We start from the raw sequence: 27301 nt of genomic DNA, 5'->3' as shown, positions 1-27301 counted from the left end.
TTGTCCAAACTGAATTGGACACAGAGAACATTCCTTAAGTTTGGAATAAATAAACTTTCTGAAAACTGCTCAGGTAACAAAGTAGTAAAGAGCCAAAAAAAATTTTATTTACTTCTAACCTTTGACTACTAAAAGGAGAAAATGAAAGGGTTCATGGAAGCAAACTTCACAAAAGTAACTGTAGACTTAACTTGTCAGATCCAAATATACATGTAGAAAAATGTACAAACATGGTTAAATTTACATATGCCGGAATTTTGGGGGGAATGGAATGTGTTTCTTACATATTAGTTTTATTTATTACCTTTTTGGTAAAAAATCAGCTCCTAGAAGCAACTCCCACACTGTTTATTTTTCTTATACATTTTGCTGAGGTTTCAACATTTCTCTTCCATAGTTTGCAGCAGGATGGCTACTTAACCAAATTTAATAGGGTTAAGATTTATTGTGTGTATCACATAGAGACCCTGGAAGTTAGGCTCCTTTCCTAAGAGAGAGGCTGTGTAATGTGGTGAAAAGAAGAGAAACTTTTTGTTAAAGTTTTGGTTTCCCTGCTTACCAACTGTGTAATACTGGATTATCTGCCTTAGTGTTCACTCAAGTGCTGTGCACTTGGGTGAGTTACTTAGTGTCTCTGAGTTTGATGAAATTTAGCCCAGAGATACAATTAGTGCCTTTTTTTTTTTTTTTTAGTAATTTGCTGTATTTGTGTCTTCTTTTATATTCTTAAGCTAAAGTAGGACTGACCATTTCATCAGCCTGTTTAAAAAAAGGCATTTGGTTTTGTTGATAGTCTTTTCCTTTATTTTTCATTTCCTTAATTTCTGTTCTATATTGCTTTTAGTTTCTTGAGCTTTTAAAAATAAGGTTTTTGTTTTGTTTTGTTTTGTTTTGTTTTGAGACAGAGTCTTGCTCTGTTGCCTACGCTGGAGTGCAGTGGCGTGATCTCAGCTCCCTGCAACCTCTGCCTCCCAGGTTCAAGCGATTCTCCTGCCTCAGCTTCCAGAGTAGCTGGGAGCACAGGCATGCGCCATCATGCCTGGCTAATTTTTGTGATTTTAGTAGAGATGGAGTTTTGCCATGTTGGCCAGGCTGGTCTTGAACACCTGACCTCAAGTGATCCGGCCACCTCAGCCTCCCAAAGTGTTAGGATTACAGGCGTGAGCCACTGCACCAGCCAGTTTTATTAATTTCTAATGCAGGAATTTAAGGGTTTACAATTTTCATGTGGTATTTTAGCTGTATCCTTTAAGTTTCGACTTGTGGTATTTTCCTTGTTCACTTTTAACTATTTTGTCATTGACCTTTTGACTTTTCTTGACCTGTGACTCATTGACTCTTAAGTTTTCAAACATAGATATTTTGGGGAGACCTTTTTTTTTCTCCGTTACAGAATTGTTAAGATTAGAGATAATATGTGGGCAAATATCAGGCAAATAGTAGATACTCAATAAATGTTTTCATTTTTCCTTAAAGAAATAAACCTCTGCTATTTGTTTTTTTTTTTGCGTGTGTATAGATGTGTAGAGATGGGAGTCTCCCTATGTTGTTCAGGCTGGTCTTGAACTCCTGGCCTCAAGTGATCCTCCTGCCTTGGCCTTCCAAAGTGTTGGGATTACAGGTGTGAGCCACTGCAACTGGCCTAACGTCTACTTTTGAAATGAGAATGGGAAATACACAATTGCCAATAAGTGTAAATAATACTAAAAGTGACTTTAGTTCTGCATGATAGCCAATTGAGTAGATGAAGTATAGAAAATATAGGGGGATGATAAGAAGAGGGTAAAATTGGGAGGAGGTAAGGGAGAGAAGGAAATTTAGCCCTTCCAAATTCTTTCTCTAGAATTTAGAGAGGATGGCTCACACCTGTAATTCTAGCACTTTGGGAGGCCAAGGCGGACGCATCACTTGCGACCAGGAGTTTGAGACCAGCCTGGGCAACATGGCAAAATCCTGTCTCTACATAAAATACAAAAATTAGCCGGGTGTGGTGATGTGCACCTATAGTTCAAGCTACTCAGAAGGCTATGGTGGGAGGATTACCTGAGCTTCAGAGGTTGAGGCTGTGGTGAGCCATGTTGGTGTCACTGCACTCAAGCCTGGGTGACAGAGTGAAACACTCTCAAAAAAAAAAAAAAAAGGAAAGTTAGGGGAAAAAGTGGAAATATCAAAAGTGGAAATATCAAGTGTTAATTCCAGTCTTCTGTGAAGTCATATTCTGCTGAACAGTTTAGTCTATGGGCTTCTATATACTAATTATTTTAGATTATATTTCTTACACTTTAGTAATAGAAGTGTCCTTAGATGACCTTTAGTGTGTATGTGTATGTATATGTAGGTGCATGTTGCCCTGCATGGCAACAAAAATTTTGTTTTTGGGGAAAGGGTCCCTAGTTTCATTAGTCTTTTTTTTTTTTTTTTTTTTTTTTTGAGATGGAGTCTTGCTCTGTCTCCCAGACTGGAGTGGAGTGGCACAATCTCGGCTCACTGCAACCTCCATCTCCTGGGTTCAAGCGCTTCTCCTCCTGCCTCAGCCTCCCAAGTAGCTGGGACAACAGGCGTGCACCACCATCCCTGGCTTTTTTTTTTTTTTTGATACAGAGTCTCTGTCGCCCAGGCTGGAGTGCAGTAGGACACTGTCTGCTCACTGCAACCTCCGCCTCCTGGGTTCAAGCAATTCTCTGCCTCAGCCTAAGTTGCTGGGATTACAGGCACCTGGTACCACACCCGGCTAATTTTTGTATTATTAGTAGAGACGGGGTTTCACCATCTTGGCCAGCCTGGTCTTAAACTCCTGACCTCCTGATCCACCCACCTCAGCCTCCCAAAGTGCTGGGATTATAGGCGTGAGCCACCACACCCGGCCTAATTTTTGTGTTTTTAAACAAAATTGCCTGATCTCAGGCAATCCACCCACCTCTCAAAGTGCTGAGATGACAGGTGTGAGCCACCGCACCCGTTCCATTAGTCTTAAGGAGGTCCATAATCCCCAAGAAATTAAGAACCACCCCTCCCTCCCTCCTCTCCCATTCCTCCCCCCCCTTCCTCCCCCCTCTACTTCCTCCCCCCTCTACTTCTTCCCCTGCCCCCTCTCCTCCCCTCCTCTCTCCCCTCCCCTTCATCCCCTCTTCCCTCCCCTCCCCTTCCTCCCCTTCCTCCCCTTCCTCTCCTTCGTTTTGAGACAGCCTCTCTCTGTTGCCCAGGCTGGAGTGCAGTGGCACGACCTCTGCTCACTGCAACCTCCACCTCCTGGGTTCAAGCAATTCTGCTTCAGCCTCCTGAGTAGCTGGGATTACAGGTGCACATGCTACCATGCCAGACTAATTTTTGTATTTTTTTTTAGCAGAGATGGGGTTTTACCATGTTGGCCAGTTTGGTCTTGAGCTCCTGACCTCAGGTGATCTGCCTGCCTCGGCCTCCCAAAGTGCTGAGATTACAGGCATGAACTACCGCACCCAGCCAAGAAACAACATTTTAGACTTCATTAGTTGAGATAAATTGAGAAGCTTAAAAGGAAGTAATTTATTTTTTCCTGCTCTGATAGTAATGACTACTTCCCACTTGAGTGAGATTTGGTGTTCCTTTTAATTCCTCACATTACAGCCAGATGACCAGGCAATATACTAAGATCAGGATTTGACTTTTAATGTAGTGCAACTTAAAACTACTGAACATGATATGTTATAAGCATAAATATTGTAATACCTGGTATGAATTACAAAACTGTAAATGCCTTTGATTAGTAAAGTTTTGATACAGCTAAGCCAAGCATTTTGGGCCTCACCTGAGGGTAGGAACAGTTCTGGGAGTAAGAGGAAGCAGTTGGTAGCTGCAGTGGAGATGCGATACTGTAAAAGGCAGCTTTGGACAGCCAGAAGACAAGAAGACACTGTTGGGTTAGAGATGAAAGGTTTTACCCCAGGACAAAAGAATAGGGAAGACCTGAGGCTGGTGAGAGAGGTAGGAGGGTACCCAGTCATACTTGACTGGCTCTCTTGCTTCCCTTTACATGAAGGCGTCATTGCCTGAAAAGAGAAGCTAGCTCAGGATTCTAAAATTTGAAGGATGAAGCAGTGATAGGTTCTTCAGAGGAAGCACTAAATGTATGCACGTGGGGGAGTTTTTTTTTCTGAGCACTGGCTCACAATAAAACCTATGTTTACTCAAGTACTTTATAATTATTCCCTCTTATGTTTCTGGAATCAAAATTAGTGCCTTGTGTTAATATGTTTTGGAAATTTAATGCTCAACCTGTCAGTTTATTTTTAACCCCCTAGATCTGCATTATCCAGCATGAGATCCATTAGCTGCATATAGCAATTTAAAATTAAATTAATTAAAATTTAATACAATTGAAAGTTCAGTCCTTCAGTCACACTAGCCATATATCAAGAGCTCTGTAGCCTCATGTGACTAGTAGCTACTGCACTGGACAACACATTGTATTGGACATTTTTTTTTTTTTTTTGAGACGGAGTCTCACTCTTGTCACTAGGCTGGAGTGCAGTGGCACGATCTCGGCTCACTGCAACCTCCACCTCCTGGGTTCAGGTGATTCTCCTGCCTCAGCCTTCCGAGTAGCTGGGACTACAGGTGTGCGCCACCATGCCTGGCTAATTTTTGTCTTTTTCGTAGAGACGGGGTTTCACCATGTTGGCCAGGATGGCCTTGATCTCTTGACCTCGTGATCTGCCTGCTTCGGCCTCCCTAAGTGCTGGGATTACAGGCATGAGCCACCACGCCCAGCCTGGACATTTCTTTTATCACAGAAAATTTTATTGGCTAGCACTGCCCTAGATAAAATTATGTATTTTCTTTCCTTTTTCTCCCATCAGACTAAAGCTGGTTTATATTAATGCGTAATTAACTTTGATATTTGAAAGTAAAAAACTTGAAAGGCTTACTAGAGTAATATTCTTTTGCTTTTTACATAATTAAAAAGACAGTGCCACTCTTTTATAATGATCTGCCTGAGTGCCATTATTTTATAAGATTTTTCAAGAAGTGGTGACTAAATCAAAGCACTGTTATGGCTTGTATTTATCCCCTTCTACTGAACTCTTGAGTCTCAAGGTTATTTCTACTCTCTCTGTAAGCATGTCTGGAAGGGCCCAAAATGTTACAACAAAATTTCCAATTTAAAAAGTTAGTGGCGGGGCACAGTGGCTCACGCCTGTAATCCCAGCACTTTGGGAGGCTGAGGGGGGTGGATCACCTGAGGTCAGGAGTTCCAGACCAGCCTGGCCAACATGGAGAAACTCTGTCTCTGCTAAAAATACAAAATTAGCCAGGTTTGGTAGTGCATTCTTGTAATCCCAGCTCCTCAGGAGGCTGAGGCAGGAGAATTGCTTGAACCCAGGAGTTGGAGTTGGCAGTGAGCCAAGATCACGCCATTGCACTCCAGCCTGGGCAACAAAAGCGAAACTCTGTCTCAAAAAATAAATAAATAAATTAGCTTTGTTTCATACATTTTTAAGGAAATCATCATAGATCTCTAAAGTTGCAAGAGAGGGAAAATCGCCAAAAGTAATTATTTTGCTGTAGGGCTACTTCTCTGAGAACCTATCAATTAGGCATAAAGGCTATACGTTAGTTTTTACTGCTTTGTGTTTTTTTGTTTATTTGTTTGTTTGTTTTTTTTGAGACGGAGTCTTGCTTTTGTTGTCCAGGCTGGAGTGCAATGGCATGATCTCAGCTCACTGCAACCTCTGCCTCCTGGGTTCAAGTGATTGTTCTGTCAAAGCCTCCTGAGTAGCTGGGATTACAGGCATCCGCCTCTGTGCCCAGCTAATTTTTGTATTTTTAGTAGAGATGGGGTTTTGCCATGTTGGCCAGGCTGGTCTCAAACTCCTGACGTTGTGATCCGCCCGCCTCGGCCTCCCAACGTGCTGGGGTTACAGGGGTGAGCCACCATGCCTGGCCTGCTTTGTGTTTTAACAGAGTAAGAAAATAGACTTTTCCTTTGCTCTAGTTTCAATCTTCTTAATATAGGTAGGACTTTTTCAGATAAATTTATGATTAATTACAAGGAAAAGGATAGTATGGATGATTTCAGGTAAGTTATAGGCATAATTTCAAGAAACAAAAAATGTTTTTATTGTGATAGAGCATCTCAAACACCTTTAGAATCTACCTCTTTTTCCTGTTCCCCCCGTTATTTCTTTGTTTCAGGCCCTTAACATCTCTCATATACACTGGTATTTCTTGCCTCTGGCCTTGCCGTCTATTCTGTCTTCACACTGCTTTTTTCTTTACACAGCTCTTTTCACAGCCCCCTCAGTTAGAGTACAGATTGGATTGTGTGTCTCCCTGCTACCCACAGAATAAAACTTCAAATGTGATGATTTTGGTCTTTTGTTTTATTATAAAATATTCAAACATGGAAGTATATACAGTAGAAAATAAGTTTTCTCCCTGATTTGATTTGTATTAGTACCATCTCTGCTATTTAGCCCCCACTGTTAAATTTGACTGGCTTAAAAAAAATACCATCTCTGAAGATAACTACTTAGAAGTTGGTCATATGTTTTTCCAGACTTCCCAATGTTTATTTATATATAAACATAAATAATTTTAGGCCAGGCGTGGTGGCTCACGCCTGTAATCCCAAGACTTTGGGAGGCTGAGGCAGGGGGTTCATGAGGTCAGGAGATCAAGACCATCCTGGCTAACACGGTGAAACCCCGTCTCTACTAAAAATACAAAAAATTAGCTGGGCGTGGTGGCGGGCGCCTGTAGTCCCAGCTACTCGGGAGGCTGAGGTAGGAGAATGGTGTGAACCCGGGAAGTGGAGCTTGTAGTGAGCCGAGATTGCGCCACTGCACTCCAGCCTGGGTGACAGAGCGAGACTCTGTCTCAAAAAAAAAAAAAAAAAAAATTTTTAGAGAAATCAAATTATACCATATATGATGTTTTTACTTATTTTGCTTGGTTTTATGCTGTATACTCATTGATTATATTTTTTTGTTTTAATTTTTAATTTTTCCATATTTTATGGTAGGATGTCAAATATAAATATATCTCTTATATCTGAGATATAAATATATATGTGAAATATAAATATATTCTACCGGATTTTATGGTAGGATATTTGAAATATATATTCTTTTATGGTATTCCTATAAGAATATATTTATATTTCAGGTATATATGCAAGTACCTTAGCATTGCGGTGACTTATAATAGGTGCTCAGTCAATGTTTGTTTCCATTCTTCTTGGACATATATGAGAAGGGCCATATAAGATTATTAACTATTTATTTATTTTTTTTTTGAGTAGTGAAACTCTAAAGACTCACAGTCTGAGGACTCATGGAGTTGTTCACATCCATGAACAACAATGTTATGAATCTTTTAGTTATAAAGCAAACCTTTCTCTGGAGCATGTTTGTGTTTTCTCATTTAGGTTTATAAATTGCTCTGAGACTAGCAGGATTGCTGTTTAAGAGTCTTGTGAGGTAGGCTGCCTGATTATTTTAGGTGCTTCCAGTAAGAGCAGATATTTTTTTACTGGTGAATAAGAGACCACATTATAATTTGTCCTTTTTACTGAGAGTGCATAGTATATTGTATACTGTAAACTTGTATAGTATGTGAAAACTTTTTACATGGGAATCTTGGAACAAAGTCTTAGATGTCTAACTCGTTTGCTAACTCTGAGGATGTGGAGGATGGATATGGACATAGGAAGTTCAACATGTGTATCATGGAGTGGGATATGTAGGTGTGTAATCTATGATACAGTTTCAGATCTGAGAGTTTCTAGTGGTTCTAGAGAAGAGAACAGGATGGATCTGGAGCTGTTGTTAATTATTTGTAAAGTCCTATTTTGAAGTGTGATTGCTTTTTACTCTTCAGCATCTCCTTTGGAAATCTTATCCCTCTACTTTCCTGCAGGGAGTTTGTTTTGGGTGGATCAGTAAAGAGGATGCAATTGGGGCCTCAACTTCTTTTCTCATTGAGGAAAGAGTGAGGGGTGCTGCTGAGAGCTCAGTGCTTCTACAGTAGCCATATTTGAAGGTTTGCTTAGAGGTAATGCTGGAGCGTACACAAATTGCCTTCAAGATTCCAGTAGTTTGTGATTTAAAAATTTGTTTGAGCAGTTAACATGGGTATATTCAGTTTGTTTATTTTTGTTAGCAGTTTGTGTTCCCAATGGAAAACAGCGTGAGAAAGAGTTGCTAGAGTATAGAATTGTAAGTGCTTCCCTAGCGTGTTCTTGGACTTCAGATTGTTCACCTTTTTTTTTTTTTGTCCCTTCTTGGTTTGTTTGTTTGAACTTGAGCCCTTTGGTGTGACAAGTCACATACAGCTTTTCAGGATCTAAGTTTATGGTTACATAAGATTATTGTTTATATGTTTCAGAAGCTTTGCTCACTTGTTTATTCATTCATTTCATAAATATTCCTTGAAATGCTTACTGTAAGCAAGATTATGCAGGGCATGTTATTAGGTGGTAATTAGGGAAAGGGAAAAATGGAAATTATATTTTGCAGATACAACAAAGGCTGAAGAGGTGTGTGTGTGTGTGTGTGTTTTAGATACACACACATCTATATGTACACAGAGACACGATCCACAGTTGTGTAGGAATAACTTCCTAAACATCTTTAGGATCTACCTCTTTTTCCTGTTCCCACTGTTATTTCTTTGTTTCAGGCCCTTAACATCTCTAATATACACTAGTATTTCTGTCTTCACACTGTTTTTTTTCTTTACACAGCTCTTTTCATAGCCCCTCCATTAGCACACAGATTGGAATTGTGTCTCCTTGTTACCCACAGAATAAAACCCAATGTTCTTAATATGTAGTCTTAATATAGACTCTATAAATAGCCCCTTTGTTAATCTATCTTGAATTACTCACTTTTAGGTTTCAGCTCCCTACTGAGACCCCAACTGGCTTTACCTTCTGTTCCCTCCTGGTTCTGCTTATCTTCCATTGCCCCTGTGGACCTGCTTTCTGTCATTGCCTTCCCTGCCCTCAGTCTCAGGAGCCTGAGACTGGCTTCTAGATGGGTTTGGACAATGGATAGCACTGGCAGGAGGAGAGTAGAGTTGCTGTGTTTATTTTCCTGGTTTCCTCCTGCAAGATCATGTCATGTTGGCTCTCCCAGAGGGCATGGCTCATATCATGGGGCCCTCTTTGTCTTTCCAAGTCTGTAGATGATAGCAGCTTCAGGAGGTTGCACTATCTTTTGACTGTGCCCACACCCTTCACACCTTGTAAATAGTCCCTTTCTTAAACTCTCCTTAAATTACCCAGTTTGGGGGTGCTATCTGTTTCCTGCTGGGATCCTGATGGCTGTGTTGCCCAAACCTAAATGTCAGTCATGCTTGCAGTTACAGCTGTGTTATTTTCCTGTAGTACTGATTTCCCTCTTTTATTAAAAGTTCTGTGGTGGCTGGGCATGGTGGTTTATATGTGTAATCCCAGCACTTTGGGAGGCCGAGGCAGGAGGATTGCTTGAGTCCAGGAGTTTGAGACCAGCCTAGGAAACATAGTGAGACTCTGTCCCTACCAAAAAAAAAAAAAGAAAAAATTAGCCAGGAATGGTAGCACAGGCCTGTAGTCACAGCTACTTGGGAGGCTGAGGTGAGAGGATTGCCTGAGCCCAAGAGTTCAAGGTTACAATGAACTATGATCCTACCACTGGACTCCACCCTAGGTGACAGAGTAAGACCCAGTCTCTTAAAAAAAAAATTTCTTTGAGGTCTTTTTCATTCTTCACCTCTTTTAGTCTTTTTTCCTTTCTTCTTTCTTGGCGTTGCAGCTGCCATATTATGGCAGTGGAAATGTTTGAATGAATAAGGAGGGGATGGACATCTGAGTTTCCCTGTTGTGTAGCATAATATTCATTTAAATGTCTGAAATGAGATCTTTAGAGAAAATTGAGGGAGTGGGTACATGAATCAGTGTAGTCACTTTAATAACTTGATTTTTATTTCATTGTTTTCAAAATAAATTTAGTACTTTTTCTTTACCTTCTACATATTAGGGATTAACATTGATTTACTTTAGTCTTTCTCTTTGTAAAATGCATTTTAGATTTATTCCATTGGAATATTTTGTAATAGCACATATTTGAGGAAGTATGTATGACATATATTTAATAAAATGGAAGAGGTTTCAATTATCACTGAATTGAGGAGAATATGGGAACATCTGTTTACATCTATCCAGGTATTCATGTGTCTGTTTTCCTCAACATATCATAGGAGTAGTGCACTAAGAGCAGACATACATGCCTAACAGTTGTGTTTAGCAAGATCAAAATATGTATGTGGTACTGTCACCCATGGCCCTGATAGGAAACAGATGGCATATTCAAGCTGGATAATTTGAAGAGGATTAAATGAAACAAGTATTCACAAATAGGTGGGCAGAGTTTAGAAAATCAACAAGAGATATTGTAGTATCCTGGGCTAGCAACAGAGAGGATGGGAATATTGCCCCATAGACCTGAAGTGCAAAGAGAAGGAGTGCTACCTCAAAAAGAGAGCTTTGTGGAGAAGGCTGCCTGATAGCAGCTGTAGTCCCAGGTAGAGGGTGAGCCACCACGCCCGGCGGTTATTACATAGTTTTAAAAGTGACTCCTCTTAAGGAAATTTTAATTAAGAGAAAAATATCCTAGAACTATGATTAGGGTCAAAACAGTATCTATGTTCTTTAGGTATTAAGGAAAAAGTGTATCTGTCCTAAGAAAGTGTTTATAAGGAGAAGAGTCTTCCTAGAACACTAACTTTAACACAGAACTCTCATCACTACTCTAAAAAATTAACATTAAAAATAATCTTGGCCAGGTGTGGTGGCTCATGTCTGTAATCCCAGCACTTTGGGAGGCCGAGGCAGGTGGATCACTTGAGGGCAGGAGTTCAAGATGAGCCTGGCCAACATGGTGAAAACCCGTCTTTACTGAAACTACAAAAATTAGCGGGGCTTGGTGGCGCGTGCCTGTGGTCCCAGCTAATCAGGAGGCTGAAGTCGGAGAATCACTTGAAACTGGGAGGCAGAGGTTGCAGTGAGCCAAGATCGCACCTCTGCACTACTCCAGCCTGGGCGACAGAGCAAGACTCTGTCTCAAAACAAAAACAAAAACAAAACAAAACAAAACAAAAATGATCTCAGTAGCAGATAAAGACTATTCCATTGCTTTTTGGAATAGTGATACCTGTTTACTCTGGAGGGATGGACATTCCTCTGTGTGTGTGTGTGTGTAATACATATGAACAATAGGGGACATAATTTTGACATATTTAACTTGAAGAAAGGCATGCTTAGACAATGACAACCCGATATTGAACAATGCTCAATACTAAGTTTCTTTATGAAGATACCATTGTTGTATTAGTGGAGACGGTATAATATATTCTCAGTAAAGACCTCAGTCTTTACTCAGTTCTCATGCTCCTTGATGTCTTAGCATTTGATATATTAGATTTGCCATGTACTAGATACTCTGAGCTTTGGTTTTTGTATCACAACATTGTCCTACTTCTCTATTGTTCATTCATTCTTTTGTTTAAAGAATGGCCAGACTATGCTGCTGAACAAGACAGACACAGCCCTTGCCCCTTGGAGCCTGTGAGCATCCTTTCTTCCTCTCCTATAGCCTCTTTTCATGTTTTCTCTGTGGATATTAGTCCTTAGCTAATTGCTTTGTTTCTTTTAGTCTTGATTTGCCTTCTGTAAGAACTGTTTTATTCTCCTAGCTTAAGTTGCAAATTCTAATGCCAACAACTTACACATCTTTCTCTACTTCTGATCTTTACCCTGAATTTTATTCACTTAGCCATTTAATACATTTTTTTTTTTTTTTTTTGGAGACAGAGTTTTGCTCTTGTTGCCCAGGCTGGAGTGCAATGGCGCCATCTCAGCTCACCACAACCTCTGCCTCCCGGGTTCAAGCGATTCTACTGCCTCAGCCTCCTGAGTAGCTGGGATTTTGGGTGCCCGCCACCATGCCCGGCTATTTTTTTTTTTTTTTGTATTTTTTTTAGTAGAGACAGGGTTTCGCCATGTTGGCCAGGCTGGTCTCGAACTCCTGACCTCGTGATCTGCCAGCCTTTGCCTCCCAAAGTGCTAGGATTGCAGGCGTGAGCCACTGCGCCTGGCCAATAAATTTTTGTTCAGATCTGTGTGCCTGGTACAAAGGATACAAAAATGGTAAAGGTAGCCTTTGCCCTCAGAGTTGCTGACACACACATAAAAAGTTAAAGTACAGCGTGATAGACATATGTACATGGTGCCATGGGACAGATAAGAAGGGAGTACCTGGCTTGGACTTGAAGGAGAAATGAGAGAGCAACTATCCGCAGTAGAAGGCTGAGCATTTCAAATCCCTGTGAAACCTAGGGTTTTGAAAACAGTATGTTTCGGCAACAGCAAGTGGTTCAGTGTGATTGGAGCCTTAAGGGGACAGTGGAAGATGAGGCTGAGCATTTAGGGAGGTGCCAGATTGCCCCAAAGGCAGTGTTCTCAATACTAAACTAATGTTCTTCCACCATAAATGAGCTCCCCCTGGCAACTTCTCATTTCTATCAATGGAACTTTCGTTCTTCATATGTCCAAACCCTGAAGTGCCATCTTCAGGTCTGCCTCAGCATTTGTGATCAGTGCTCAAGTTTTGTATCATTTCTATATTCAAAACATTCTTCTCTGCATCCTATTCTGTTTCCACTATCTACACACTACTTATCACCTAATTAGTAGATAATTTCAAAACTGTAAATATTTGTGTTTCTTCTTGCTCTCTCTCTCCCTTTTTTTTTTTTCCTGGAAGTTAATTTCTAAAATTCCTCATTTTACCATGTTGCTGACCCTGAGCAAAAGAGGACAGTGATATTTTATTTCCTACAAACTTACATCCTTTCCAAGTGTTTTAAACCCATAATCCTTTTTCTTTCTTTGGAGTTGGGAGTCTTGCTCTGCACCCATGTTGGAATGCAGTGGCATAATCATGGCTCACCGTAGCCTCGAATTCTTGGGCTCAAGTGATCCTTCTGCCTGAGCTTCCCAAATGTCTGGACTATAGGTGTGTGCCACTATGACCAGCTATTTTTTTTTTTTTTTTTTGAGATGGAGTCTCGCTCTGTCGCCCAGGCTGGAGTACAGTGGCGCGATCTCAGCTCACTGCAATCTCTGCCTCCCAGGTTCAAGTGATTCTCCTGCCTCAGCCTTCCAAGTAGTTGGGACTACAGCCACTACGCCCAGCTAATTTTTTGTATTTTTAGTATAGATGGGGTTTCACTGTGTTAGCCAGGATGGTCTTGATCTCCTGACCTTGTGATCCACCCGCCTCGGCTTCCCAAAGTGCTGGGATTAGAAACATGAGCCACCTCACCCAGCCACCCAGCTAATTTTTAAAAATATTTTTTAGAGACAGGGTCTTGCTGTGTTGCCCAGAATGGTCTTGAACTTCTGGCCTCAAGTGATCCTCCCGCCTCAGCCTCCTGAGTTACTGGGATTACAGGTGTTAGTCACCATGCCTGAGTCCTATAATCTTTTAATAAACACAGAAATCTCAAGCACTGTTATTCCCATGAAAAACCATAGAATTGCAGAATTCAGAGATAATCTATAGCAAATAATACACTGTTCCATTAACTTTCAGTTTTTTCTTCTTCTTTTTTTTTTTTTTGAGACAGGGTCTTGTCCTGTTGCCCAGGCTGGGGTGCAGTAGTGTGAACATGGCTTACTGAAGCCTTTACCTCTTGGGCTCAAGGGATCCTCCTGCCTCACCCTCCTGAGTAGCTGGGACTACAGGCACATGCCACCATGCCCAGCCAATTAAAAAATTTCTTTTGTAGAGACGAGGTCTCAATATGTTGCCCAGGCTAGTCTTGAACTCCTGAACTTAAGGGGTCCTTCTGCCTCAGCCTTTCAACGTGTTGGGTTTATAGGTGTGACCCACCGTACTCAGCCTACTTTGAGTTCTTATCGTGAACACAACATGTATTATACTGAGTGAGGTTTTTAAAGGACAGGTTCCCCTTCTCCCAATCATATTCTAACCTGTTAACCTAGCCAGATCACTTGTCTCCATGGGAGGCCGTATATTCCCTAACTCTGGAAGAGATAGCTTGTGTTGGAATCCTGGTTCCACCACTTCCTAGTTTCAGCAATGTTCCTCATTTCTCTAAGCTTCAACAACGTTATATGAAAAAAGCAGGTAGTGATAATACCTACTTCACAGAGGTGAGGTAAGGATTGAGTTAATCTATGTGGCCTAATTCCCAGCATGTGCAAGCATGCAATACATGTTGGCTACAAAATGCGTGTACCTTGAAAACTTCTTGCTCATTCCCTTTGTGCTCTTGTTGATGCAATTCTCATGCTTCCCTGCCTCCCTCTACCACTAAATGGTCTCCCTGTGCTCCTCCCTATTGCTTGTGTTTTACCTGTCATTTCACCTTCAACTCAGTTGCCTCTTCTTTAATAGTCTTTTCTAACTCCTCCAGTCTGTATTGACCTCTGAATTCCTATAGGTCCTTCTATGCCATTTTAGTAATTATATTCCTATTTTTATGGCATATTTCTGCCTTTTATGGTATTTCTTCTTAACTTTACATGCAATAAAAGAGTTGTGGAATTACCATCTCAATCAAGATACAGAACAGTTTCATCATTTTCCCCAAAAAATCTACCTTGGGATTTGTTTTTAAACAATTTACTGGGTATACATTATTTTTCTACATATACAATTTAGGTTCTTGAATTTAGTATTGGTTTTATACAAATTTGTCTTCCCTAAGTATGGCTTAGTATTGCGCATATAGTGAGTGAGTTTGTATAAAACAAAGCCTAAAAGCATGGTAAATTTGAATATCTTAAGAAGCCACTAATTTAAATTATTTAACTTTGGTCTTTCAGGGTCATTTTATTTAGGTGCAAAATTTCAACTGAAATTATTTTGGTATAACTTGTTAAAAGTGGTTTTGGAGCCTTGCCAGGGCTAATAAAACCGGGTGTTTGTTTGTCTTTGGAAAACAAAAGGCTTTTTCTTTCTATTTTTATTACTGAATATATACTTGTGGTTTTATCATTTTCTTTCTCTCTCTTTTTCTTTCTTTTCTTTCTTTTTTTTTTTTTTTTCCTGAGATTGAGTCTTGCTCTGTTGGCCAGGCTGGAGTGCAGTGGCACAATCTTGACTCACTGCAACCTCTGTCCCCTGGGTTCAAGCGATTCTCCTGCTTCAGTCTGCCCAGTAGCTGGGACTACAGGTGTATACCACCATGCCTGGCTAATTTTTGTGTTGTTAGTAGAGACGGGGTTTCATCATATTGGCCAGGCTCGTCTTGAACTCTTCATGTCAAGTGATCTGCCCACCTTGGCCTCCCAAAGTGCTGGGATTACAGGCATGAGCCACCTAAATTTTTACATGTTTCTTCTCCTGGATGACATTTGGTTGTTATGATATTAATTACTAAATTTATTTATGGAATTTTGCCTTTTTTCTTAAACACAGTTTAATGTAAAGCAATTCAATTAAAAATGAATTAACTACAGAATGCAAAATGGAAAACCTTCCTGTTTTCTCAGCTTTATTTTTCCATGGGCCAATTTTGCTCTCCTCCTTGTGGAAGTCTCTTTTATTGTTTATTTCTAAAATCGGAGGTCAATGCAAGTAATAGTATTTATACTTGGAAAAAGGTGGGGCTGATATGGACAAGCAAATGATGCTGCATGATTTCCTTAATCTTTGCCCTTGGGTATAATGGAGATCCATCTCCAGAGAGGGCAAAATATGGCTAGGATTTGCATCCCATTCAGTAGACTTTACTTCCTAATGAAGTGAATTGAATTTAATCATGTGTGTCTTTTTTTCCCTTCCCCAACAGCTTCCATGCCTATGGCTGTTCTAAAATTGGGCCAAATATATCCATTTCAGAGAGGCTTTTTCTGTAAAGACAACAGCATCAACTATCCGTACCATGACAGTACCGTCACATCCACTGTCCTCATCCTAGTGGGGGTTGGCTTGCCCATTTCCTCTGTAAGTAAATTAATAAGTAGGTAGTGATGGGTTTGTTGTGCTGGAGGTTGGATGAAGCATGGAGTTGGGGCGGGGGTAAATCCACAGTACTGTCTTCACCAGTGTTGATATGGTGAATGATTGCTTGAGGAATATACCCACTGTTTTAGTCCAGAGGCAGTGTTTCTCCAGTTAAAGGTGGATGTTACCCAGAACAACTTGATGTCATTCTGAAGAATGATAGAATGATTATTTTTGAATAGGAGAGTCTTTTTGAGTCATTTGGATCAACTCCTCTCAGTAAACAAATGAAGAAACTTAGGTCCAGACACTTGTTAAAGCCCAGTAAGCTATCGTACGGCAGAGCTGAAACTAAGATTATGCTTGCTTTATCATACTGTTAAGTGGAAATTGAGGCCATGAAAAAGGAAAACGTTTGCATATTAAATTTGAGAAAACAAACTCAGCAGAAAGACCACAAATATATGTGCAAAATAAAATTATCAGAATACATTAAGATATGTCACTATTGGCCAGGTGTGGTGGCTCACACCTGTAATCCCAGCACTTTGGGAGGCCGAGATGGGCTGATCACCTGAGGTCAGGAGTTCGAGACCAGCCTGACCAACATGGAGAAACCTAGTCTCTACTAAAAATAAAGAATTAGCCGGGCGTGGTGGCGCATGCCTGTAATCCCAGCTACTCGGGAGGCCGAGGCAGGAGAATCGCTTGAACCCAGGAGATGGAGATTTCAGTGAGCCAAGATCATGCCATTGCACTCCAGCCTGGGCAACAAGAGCAAAACTCCATCTCAAAAAAAAAAAAAAAAAAAAAAAGAAAAGAAAAGTCACTATTTCTTACTTTGTACTGTCCTTCAGATAGTTCATCAATTTGTAGGACAATATTGGGCTTCACTGTTAAATAATTAAAATTTTCATTCTAGTTTAAGATTCACAAACTAGGTTAAGATTGCCACTTGGGATATTATGCCTACTTTCTTTACCCTTGGCTCTCATTCCTAAATCTTGCCATTGTCATTTTATGTGACTTGGAAATAGAAGGGAAGGAGCAAGGTGAAGATTTACCTCCTTGAGTGTCTTGGCAGTGCAGCATATCACACCTTATTTCTCCTCTGGCCACCTGTCTTGTTACTTGCCTTTCCTAGATATATGACTTACAAAACTTTAGTGTCTCAGTAAACTCAGTAGCCTTGTTCTGCTGTAGGACTGGCTGGCTTTTCTCTCTCTATTTTGCCTCCAAATTGGCTAAGAATAATAACCTAGTTGTTTGTTTTTTCAGCTTATGTATCTGAGTTCATTTTGCCTTTTTGTCTGGTAGATTTTTTTCTAATGGGCTGCAGCTCAGTATTTTGAAGGTGAAGGGGTCCAGGATTTTATTATGTTCTAAGAGGTATAAGTATTAATATATTCATATAATTCTAATTTGATTATAGCTACTTTTATGGGAGTAAAATGAGAAAAATCTAGCATTTAGTTTAAGGGGATACTTCTTTTTCTAAGAAATACATCCCACCATAACTGGTTACTTAAATTTTAGTTATTCAGCTTAGGAGAAACTGTGTGCAGGGAAGTACTGCCACTTGGATGACAATAGACGGTGTTTCTGTACTATATGAAGTACTAAGTAGTTGTGGTAGCCATGATTCTGAGCAACTGTTGCCAGATAAAGTTTCTTTTTTAAGAAAAACTTGCCCCTGTATTTGAGGAGATAATTGCTTGAGAGTGAATAAATTAATTGTAATAATAACACATATATATTTTTGAGATGGAGTTTTGCTCTTGTCGCCCATGCTGGAGTGCAATTGTGTAATCTTGGCTCACTGCAATCTCTGCCTCCCAGGTTCAGGTGATTTTCCTGCCTTAGCCTCCTGAGTAGCTGGGACTATAGGCGTGCGCTGCCATGCCCAGTTAATTTTTGTATTTTTTTTTAGTAGAGATGGGGTTTCTTCATGTTGGCCAGGCAGGTCTTGAACTCCTGACCTCAAGCAATCTACTCTGCCTCAGCTCGGGTTCAAGCGATTCTCCTGCCTCAGCCTCTCAAGTAGCTGGAATTACAGGTGCCTGTCACCACTTCCAGCTAATTTTTGTATTTTTAGTAGAAATGGGGTTTCGCTGTGTTGGCCACCTGGCAACATGCCCCCTGGCCCATGATCTTTTATTAATTAAAAAAATTATTATAAAGTAGAAAGAGAAAATAAATAGCCCTTAGTTCTACTACCTGAAGACAACTACTGGTAGCATTTTGATGTTTCCTTTAGTTTGACACATTTTTTTGTTGTTGTTGTTGTTTGTTTGTTTTTTATTTTTATTTTTTTGAGATGGAGTCTCACTCTGTTGCCTGGGCTGGAGTGCAGTGGCACAGTCTCGACTTAGTGCAACCTCCGCCTCCCAGGTACAAGCAATTCTCCTGCCTTGACCTCCCGAGTAGCTGGGACTACAGGCACACACAACCACACCTGGCTAATTTTTGTATTTTTAGTAGAGACGGGGTTTTACCATGTTGGCCAGGCTGGTCTTGAATTCCTGACCTCAGGTGATCCACCTGCCTCGGCCTCCCAAAGTGCTGAGATTACAGGCATGAGCCACCACACCCAATCTAGTTTGACAGTTTTTATATCATTATGAGCACACCACAGATTTAGTTTTGTGCTTTGTTTTTTTACTTATCTTTATAACAATTTTTTTTTTTTTAGTTATAGTATTATAATATCAAGCAGCTTAAATAGCAATAGGGCTAAATTTTTTTTTTTTTAAGGAGTGGAAAAAGACTTAGTATCAATCTTTTTATCAATCTTAGTATCAAACTTTGATTAATTCCTGTGAGTTTGCTGTTAGGATTGACCTGGAAAAATATTTTAATGCCAATTATTTATTTATTTGTTTGTTATGAGACGGAGTCTTGTCCTGTTGCCCAGGCTGGAGTGCAGTGGCATGATCTTGGCTCACTACAACTGCCGTGCAATACCACCACACTCGGCTAATTTTTTGTATTTTTAATAGAGACAGGGTTTCACCATGTTGGTCAGGCTGTTCTGGAACCCTGACCTCAGGTGATCCACCAGCCTCGGCCTCCCAAAGTGCTGGGATTACAGGCGTGAGCCACCACGCCCGACCTAATGCCAATTTATTTTTAATTAAAGAAGTAGTATTTGGCCAGTTTCTGGGCCTTAAATGTGCTTGAATGTGCAGGAAGGAATTCTTGCAAATTCTTAGGGTAGATTTGTTTGTTTTAATAGTTTGTGTATAACATCTGTTATATATAGAAAATAATTTATTTTCTATAAAATGAATTATTTATGCTTAACATAACTTTCATATAATGTGCCTTATAATTTGATCAGAATTAAGATTTGGGGTGATAGAAAATCTATATTTTAAAGCAGTGATTTATTTTTACAATGCGAGGTTCATAATCTTTTTAAGAAATATATTATTTACTGTTTCTTCTTTAGCTATCCAAAAAGGTGCCATATTCAGAAAACTATAGATTTCTGCATTATTTGGCTTTTACATTTTTTTTTTGTTTTTGGGTTTTAATGATCCATATTAGATTTGACACCAGACTTTTTTTTTTCCATCATTTTTGGCTTTGTGTAGTTCTACCTTCTCCCTTGGTAATTCATTATACATTTACTTTTATAAATTCTTATATTTCTAGAAAAAGGCAAGACTTTTTATGTACAAACTTTCAGAGTAATGATAGTAACAATAAAGTTAGTATTAAATCTCAAATCCATATGTTGCAATGAATAATATACTTTGTCTAAATTTAAAAATTTGTAGTTTCAGGATAGAAAACTTACCTATGTTTAATAGGCTATTTTAAATCGACTTGAGTACTGACTGTAAGTAGTTGCTTTTCTTAAGTGATGATTACTGTATGGCATAACCTTTTAGCAAAAATACTTAGCCTAAAATAACAGTATAGCCAATGTTTGTGACCAACTTATTAAACTTTTTCTAAAGAGTGATTGTATTACTTATGGTGACCTAAACTGGAAATGTACATGGATGTTTGTGAAAAGGGCTTAATCACTTTTTTTTTTTTGAGGTGGAGTCTCGCTCTGTCGCCCAAGCTGGAGTGCAATGGTGCGATTTTGGCTCACTGCAACCTCCACCTCCCGGGTTCAAGCGATTCTCCTGCCTCAGCCTCCTAAGTAGCTGGGATTACAGGGGTGTGCCATCACGCCTTGCTAATTTTTGTATTTTTAGTAGAGATGGGGTTTCACCATGTTGGTTAGGCTGGTTTTAAACTCCTGACCTCGTGATCTGCCCGCCTCGGCCTCCCAAAGTGTTGGGATTACAGGCGTGAGCCACGGCGCCCGACCAAGGCTTAATCACTTTATATATTTTATGTTATTTTATTGTATTTTTTGAGATGGAGTCTGGCTCTGTTGCCCAGGCTGGAGTATAGTGGTGTGATCTCAGCTCACTGCAACCTCCGCCTCCTGGGTTCAAGTGATTCTCCTGCCTCAGCCTTCCAAGTAGCTGGGACTACAGGCGTGTGCCACCACAACTGGCTAATTTTTTGTATTTTTAGTAGAGATGGGGTTTCACCATGTTGGCCAGGCTGGTCTTGAACTCCTGACCTCAAGCAATCCACCCACCTCGGCCTCCCAAAGTGCTGAGATTACAGGTGTGAACCACCACATCCAGCCACTTTATATATTTTATAACTTAGTGAAAAACAGATGACTACCTCAAAGAAAAATGGGGAAAGGGCATGACTAGAAAGCTGTCAGTGGAAGAAAATTGCCAAGAAATATAAAGAAATGCTTTAACATTTAACATTTCTTAAGACTAAGTCTTAAGAAATCAAAGTTTATATTAAAGCAACACTGAGAACACAGTTTGGCCTGTCACAGTAGCAAAGGTAAGAACTTTCCCAGCTTATCAAGCATAGAAAACAGGTGTTCTCATACACAAATCTGGCAGGGGTATAAATTGGCATTAAAAAGAGTATATTGTTGAACCTATAAATTATACTGGAAGGAATTTATCCTGGAAATAAAAGTTTCATATAGAGAATTAGTTGGAAGACAGCTGATTACAGTACTTTTTATAGAAGAAAATTGGAAATAAGTAAGTTCAGCTGTAGGGGACTGTTTTATGATTTATTCTAGTGATGAAATATTATGATATTTCATAAGTTTTGATAATATTGACATAGAAAGATTTTTGTAATATATTGAGAGGGAGAAGAATAGTAATCGTTCTTTCTGAATAGTGGGATTATTAGTATATGAGATATTTTCATTTGGTCTCTTATATTTTCTGTTTTTCCCCTCCCTTGAACATTGTTTTTTCAAATAAGGAAGCCTATTTTTATTTTTTAAAAACCCATTAGAAATTTTTCTGTTTTCATTTTTCATATACCTGAAGTTTAAATGCCTTAACTATATACCCATTTTTACATAGCATTGTGGAAGCTTAACTGTTATGTGTGTGGATTTTGTCTGTTTCTAAGAAAGTGCCAAAAGAAAAAAAAAGATCAAAATAACTATGTTTTGAGATTTCACAGTAAATCAAACTTCACTCCTTGTCCTGTGGCTCAGCAGTCTACGTAGCTGACTAGGCTTTTTAGAAGTGATTGGTTGTCCGTTAACCTGAGTGGATCTACACATACCCATGTAACTCCTTGAATGTGGAAAGTTTGTCTTTTGTGTTGCAGCATGCTGTAATTCAATTCTGACACTAACCACCTGGAGTTAGCATGAGACTCCACGGATTTAAGGTCATTGTCCCCAATAAGACTGCTTTCACTGTAGTTTTCAGGTGCAAATTTGAAGTTCCCCAGGCTGCAACTCTGGGGGTTCCTGTGACTCTGTCAGGTTCAGTAATAGGCTAAAACAACTCATAGAGCTCAGGAAATCATTTTACTTATGATTATAGTTTTATTATAAAGAATCAGAATGAGCCAAATTAAGATACACAGTCAAAGTCTCAGGGTGGGGGGCAGCCTGAATGTAGAACTTTTCTGTCCTCTCCCAATGTCATCAAGATGTGTCACTTTTCTGGCACATTGATATGTTCACCAACCAGGCAGCTCCTCCAACCTTCAGTGTCCATTGTTTTTATTAGAGTTTTATTATGTAGTCATGATTGATTGAATCATTGGCCAAGCAATTGAACTTGATCTCTAGTTCCCCTCACCTACCTGGAGGTTGAGCTGGTTTAAAGCCCTGTCCCCCTAATCACATGGTTAGTGTGACCAGCCCCCATCCTGAGTCATTCATTAGCATAAACCCAGGTGTGAACCAAGGGGCTCAAGAATAACAAAGACCCTCCTATTACTCAGGAAATTGTAAGGTTTTCGAGTCTCTCTCCCAGGGACAAAGGCCACATTCTTTGTTATAGACCCCAGTCTCTGTATTTTTTACTCTATAGCCTTGGTACCTTGAAAGTGTTTAAAGCACTCAGTTGTTGGTTTGATACAATTTAATATTTTTTAAAAAAGTTTTCGTTGTTTCCTTTGAATCTGCCAACCCAAGTTTACTTAGGAGTTGGAAACTTTCCATCTAATATGGGTTTCTATTGTTGAAAAAAATTATTCTGATACTTGTTAAAATGGTAAGGAAAACTTTACTCAAGACTATTGCACCTAGTGCAATAGCGGAGGGCTCAACTCTAACTACAACAAGGAGAAGGGGGTGGATTTATGGGTGAGGGGAATCAGTGGATGGAAAATCACGAAGAGGAGACATCAAAGGTAGGAGATTCTTGTTAAGGCAGGCCAAAGATTTATGTATCAAAGGTGGGAGATGAGGAATTTAATCATATATCAAGGATGAGGGGCTTCTTGCTTAGCTGACTTAGCAGGACTTTTGCTAAGACTGGGCATGTCCTGTCCTTGCACACCATGCAAGGACAGGCTGACATGAAAGGCCAAGGTTGAGGCCTAGTTGAGAAGAGGGTTCACAGCTGGTTAACTAATGTTTAGTCAACTAAAGAGCCTTTGTCACTGTCTATTAATGATGAACTTTATCTTAAGCGTGCATTGCATAGTGAGTTAGTAGCTCATCGTAGAAGAACATCTATGTAAACATATCTTAATATGCAAAAAACCTTTGTTCTAGGTTAATTCAGAAATATGCATTATTTAAAATCCCATTATATCTCCATTTAATAGACCAAGTATTGGTCTATTAAAATTCCTTTACTCTGGGATGTGGATTGTTATAGTTTTTGGTTGGAGATTTTTGTAAAGTCATTCTAAGTGTAAAAAATACAGAAATGGAAATAGCCTCTCAACCCAAAATTTCTAATAATGTAGTTTTTTTTTTTTTTTTTTGAGACAGTCTCCCTTTGTCACCCAGGCTAGAGTGCAGTGGTATGATATTGGCTCACTGCAACCTCTGCCTCCTGGGTTTAAGCAATTCTTGTGCCTCAGCTTCCCGAGTAGCTGGGATTACAGGCATGTGCCACCATGCCTGGCTAATTTTTGTATTTTTAATAGAGACGGAGTTTCACTACATTGGCCAGGCTGGTCTTGAACTCCTGACCTCATGTGATCTGCCCACCTCAGCCTCCCCAAAGTTCTGGGATTACAGGCATGAGCCGCTGCACCTAGCCTCGAATAATGTACTTTGAATTATCCTTTTCAACTGATGTTGTTTGTGTGTTAGCATAATGAAAAATGTCTAGCTTTTGTATACCATTAAGCACTTGTATTTTTCTGGCATTGATTAATCAGATTTTCACTATAAATATTACTAGTGTAATAATATATTAAGTAGACAATATTCACAATTTTAAAGGATAAAATACGACTTTTTAAGAAATATTAAGAAATATTTTTTATTAATTTTGGTAGTCTAAGTGCTCCTAAGTTAATTTTAAAAAATCACTTTTACTCCCTTTGTTAACACCTGGGGGAAGTAACACAGGATACATTTTTTGGGTTGAATTGTTGTGGAATACCACATTTGAAAAGTTTGGGATTTGATAATGTTTTGGAAGATGAGGGAGATTATTTACTATATATATGTGGATTTTCTGAAGTTCTTTGTTTTTGGTACATTGTTTGAAAAAATAATATTTTTTTAGAGAAGCTGCCCACAAAGCAGGTAACTGAGGTATAATTTTTATTATTTTGAATAGCTTACTTAAATGGTAATAAGAAATTGCTAGTCTTGAGGAAGAAAGAATGAGTGGGTTAATAAGTTTATTTTTATAAAGTGTAAAGTACTATATAAGTAAAGTGTTCTTATGGCGAAGTGGCTTTAGAATTTTACCCTGCATAGCAGAGGAGATTGGAGTTGGTTAGGTTTTATGGCAAGGCACATCTCTCTTGCTGTCCTTTTCCTGTACTGGTTCAGGAAGCTGGTATCCAAACAGTCTATTGCTCACATTTGTTTGTCATTTCTCCCTTGTTTTCATGGGGACATAGGCGCTGTGCTGCCATTTCTTATTTTCACCTCTATAGGCAGTAAGACAATAATCTTCACTAGAGTAGGAATGGTCTGTATTGCTCACCATTGTAACCTTAGTGGCATGTAATAGGTGTTTAATAACTTGAGGTAGAAAATTTTATGAAAAACTACAAAATGTTAAATAGAATAAGATTGTTGTTTATGTTTGATAATGACTACTACCATGAAAATTCAGCTTAACTCTGTGGAAACTGACCATATTTCCAAGTCATCTCTTGCTATCAGATACCTCATTAAAACAGTTTTTCGGGGGTGAGGGGGGACAAAGGAGACTTACATTGAATGCGTATCCTGACTGGAGATGTGTGTGTGTGTGTGTGTGTGTCTGTGTGTGTATATACTATATACTATATATATATGTATGAGATATGTATATCTCCAAAGGGGGAAATATAAATATATAAAATTTAAATATAATACTTAAATATAATATTTAAATATAAATATATAATTATATTTATATTTCCCCCTTTGGATGTATCTTATATAAATAAATATATATTTATAGATCTTATAAAAATAAAAATAAAAATATATATATGTATTTCCCTCTTTGGAGATATCTTAAAATATGGAGGAAACGTCTATTAGAATTGTAGAAATATAGTACTGTGGAGATTGGTTTCTTAGGTTGGAAAAAAGTTTTATTTTCTTGTTTACTTATTCTCATGTGTAGCTGCATTTCCTATCCACAGCATTGTGGAAAGTACTGATTCTCAATTCTTATGAGCAATTTTATTAACAAAATAGTAATAGCTCCATTATTTGACAGTCTGACCTATATGTCTGGGTTCTTCAGGCTTCTAGCCTACATCCACATTCTTCTCTACTTGTTCAGGCATTAAGAGAAGAATGTATTTCCTGAAATATTTCACAAGTGGACACAGTTCTTTCTATTCCGTGGGTCTTTTGGTCTGCCTATGGGGTCTTTTTTTCTTCCAAACTATTGAGGTAGTACTTGATCTCACAGTAAATCCCAAGGCACCTGCCATCTGTGTGTCAGGATTTCTCAGACTGTTGCCAGCTGCTGTCATCCCCAAGGCAGTGTATCCCTTAGTGATTTGCTACTGTGGTCTCTAAAGTTGCATGCCACTCTCTCTTGGGCATCTGGTATGTTTTAGATTCGTACAATGGAATACTGTTCAGCAACAAAAAGGAACAATATATCCATGGTGCTATATAGGTGATCCTTAAAACATTATTTTGTGAAGGCAGTTTTGTAATTTTCGCTAATATTAGAAGAGTTCCCTTCACATGTAAAAGAGTTTTTAACCAGTTTCCCAGATTTGCTGGATACCCCAGCACCAATATTTCTAAATAAAACTGTTAGTATTTGTATTATGGTTCCAAGATCCTGAGCATTTGTGCAAGAGGAAGTTAAAGAAGATGTGGTGTGACCATGTTCTTATGTTGTCCTTTCCTGTCTCTAATAAAGGACGGCGAAGTGTTCTTGTGGTATTTGGTTTGTGGAAGCAGTAAGTTACCATATCACATACTCTGTCTTGAACCATTATAAATATTCACTGGTAAAATATAGAAAGTTGTGTTTATTTATAGCTGAGTATGAGTTTACTATGCAGAGAACCTGAGTCATGGGCTGACTAGTGAATGTATCAAAAAGCGGAATGTGGGAATGTAAAAGGGTGCAACAACTTTGGAAAACAGTTTGGCAATTTCTTAAAAAGTTAAGCATCAACTTACCATATGACCTAGCAATCCCACTTGTAGGTATCTACCCATTAGAAATGAAAACATATCTACAAAAATACTTGTATATGAATGTTCATAGGATTAATCATAATAGCACAAAACTGGAAGCAATCTAAATGTCCATTAACTGGTGAGTGGGTAAACCAAATGTGGTATATACATACAACTGAATACTATTCATTAATAAAAAGGAACAAAATGCATGCTGTAACACAGATGAACCTCGAAAACATTATGCTGAGTGATAAAAGCCACATATAAAATACTACATATTGTATAATTCCATTTATATGAAATGTCTAGAAAAGGCAAATTTGTGTAGAGACAGATAGCAGATGAGTGGTTGCCTGGGTTTCTTGGTGGAAGCAGGGATTAAATGCAAATGGGCTCAAGGGAATTTGGGGGGTAATGAAAATATTCTAAAACTAGATTGTGGTGATGTTGCATAGCTATATAAATTTACCAAAACCATTGAATTATATGTATACTTAGAATGGATGAATGTTATGGTATGTAAATTATACCTCAATTTAAAAAAAGGGAGCATGAAAATGAATTTTGCCAGCTCAAGTAATAAGAAACAGTGTTTGACAAGGGTAGTCATTTGAGAAATGATGAAAGAGATTTAGAGATATAATCTTTCAGGTGAAAGGAAAAGGGTTTTGACTTGATTTGATAAACGAAGAAAGGGAACTCTTTCACTTTTGCCTTAATCTTCAGTAAATGTCAAAGTTAACATCAAGTATCTATTTAAATGTTTGCATTTCTCCACACTTTTGTACACTGTGTCTGGTGAAGTAAGTTGATGGTGTGCACTAACCCTTTTGGAATAGTTTATCAAGGATTTAATGTTTGTATCTTTTAATTCCACATACATATATATCTTAAGGAAATAACTAGAAATGCAAACAAGAATTTGTATTCAGAAATGTTCACTATAGCATCACATAGGGTAATCAAAAAATTAAAAATAACCTACATGCTCTCAAAGTAGGAGGAATGGTTAAATTATAGTTGATTTTGCTTTGTCTCTCTTGGTTTCAAGGAGTAGAAATTCTAACTAGATTAAGTAAAATTGGGCTTTGTTGAAAAGGGTAAAAGGTGCTCTAATAACCCCAAACAGCAAGATCACTGAGGCCTTTTGGCAGTGGGGAGCCAGAGCTAC

The 27301-nt window shown here is 38.9% G+C and overlaps 1 protein-coding gene across 4 annotated transcripts in view, besides 2 other annotated features; it reads left to right on the top strand.

Annotated features, from left to right (window-relative positions):
- PLPP1 (phospholipid phosphatase 1) overlaps positions 1-27301 on the top strand; it is a 110111-nt gene that overhangs the window by 28010 nt on the left and 54800 nt on the right. For 2 of the 4 annotated variants that reach the window (NR_103485.2, NM_176895.3), the window contains exon 2: positions 15841-15995. The exons of the other annotated variants lie outside the window; for them this stretch is intronic. Coding sequence is in view for 1 of the 2 variants with exons in the window: in NM_176895.3 (NP_795714.1) it covers positions 15841-15995 (155 nt within the window). In the remaining variant the exon portion in view is untranslated. The remainder of the gene's footprint in view (positions 1-15840; positions 15996-27301) is intronic. 4 annotated transcript variants of the gene reach the window in all.
- Positions 4074-4616: an enhancer, noted in NCBI's record as "H3K4me1 hESC enhancer chr5:54798167-54798709 (GRCh37/hg19 assembly coordinates)". NCBI's record gives its function as "activates a minimal SCP1, AML or CMV promoter by ChIP-STARR-seq in naive H9 embryonic stem cells {active_cell/tissue: H9 hESC(naive)}" and the evidence as "EXISTENCE:reporter gene assay evidence [ECO:0000049][PMID:30033119]".
- Positions 4617-5159: an enhancer, noted in NCBI's record as "H3K4me1 hESC enhancer chr5:54797624-54798166 (GRCh37/hg19 assembly coordinates)". NCBI's record gives its function as "activates a minimal SCP1, AML or CMV promoter by ChIP-STARR-seq in naive H9 embryonic stem cells {active_cell/tissue: H9 hESC(naive)}" and the evidence as "EXISTENCE:reporter gene assay evidence [ECO:0000049][PMID:30033119]".

Source organism: Homo sapiens, chromosome 5 (genome assembly GCF_000001405.40).
Source record: "Homo sapiens chromosome 5, GRCh38.p14 Primary Assembly".
NCBI lineage: Eukaryota > Metazoa > Chordata > Mammalia > Primates > Hominidae > Homo > Homo sapiens.
This window is presented reverse-complemented; position numbering and strand designations above follow the sequence as displayed.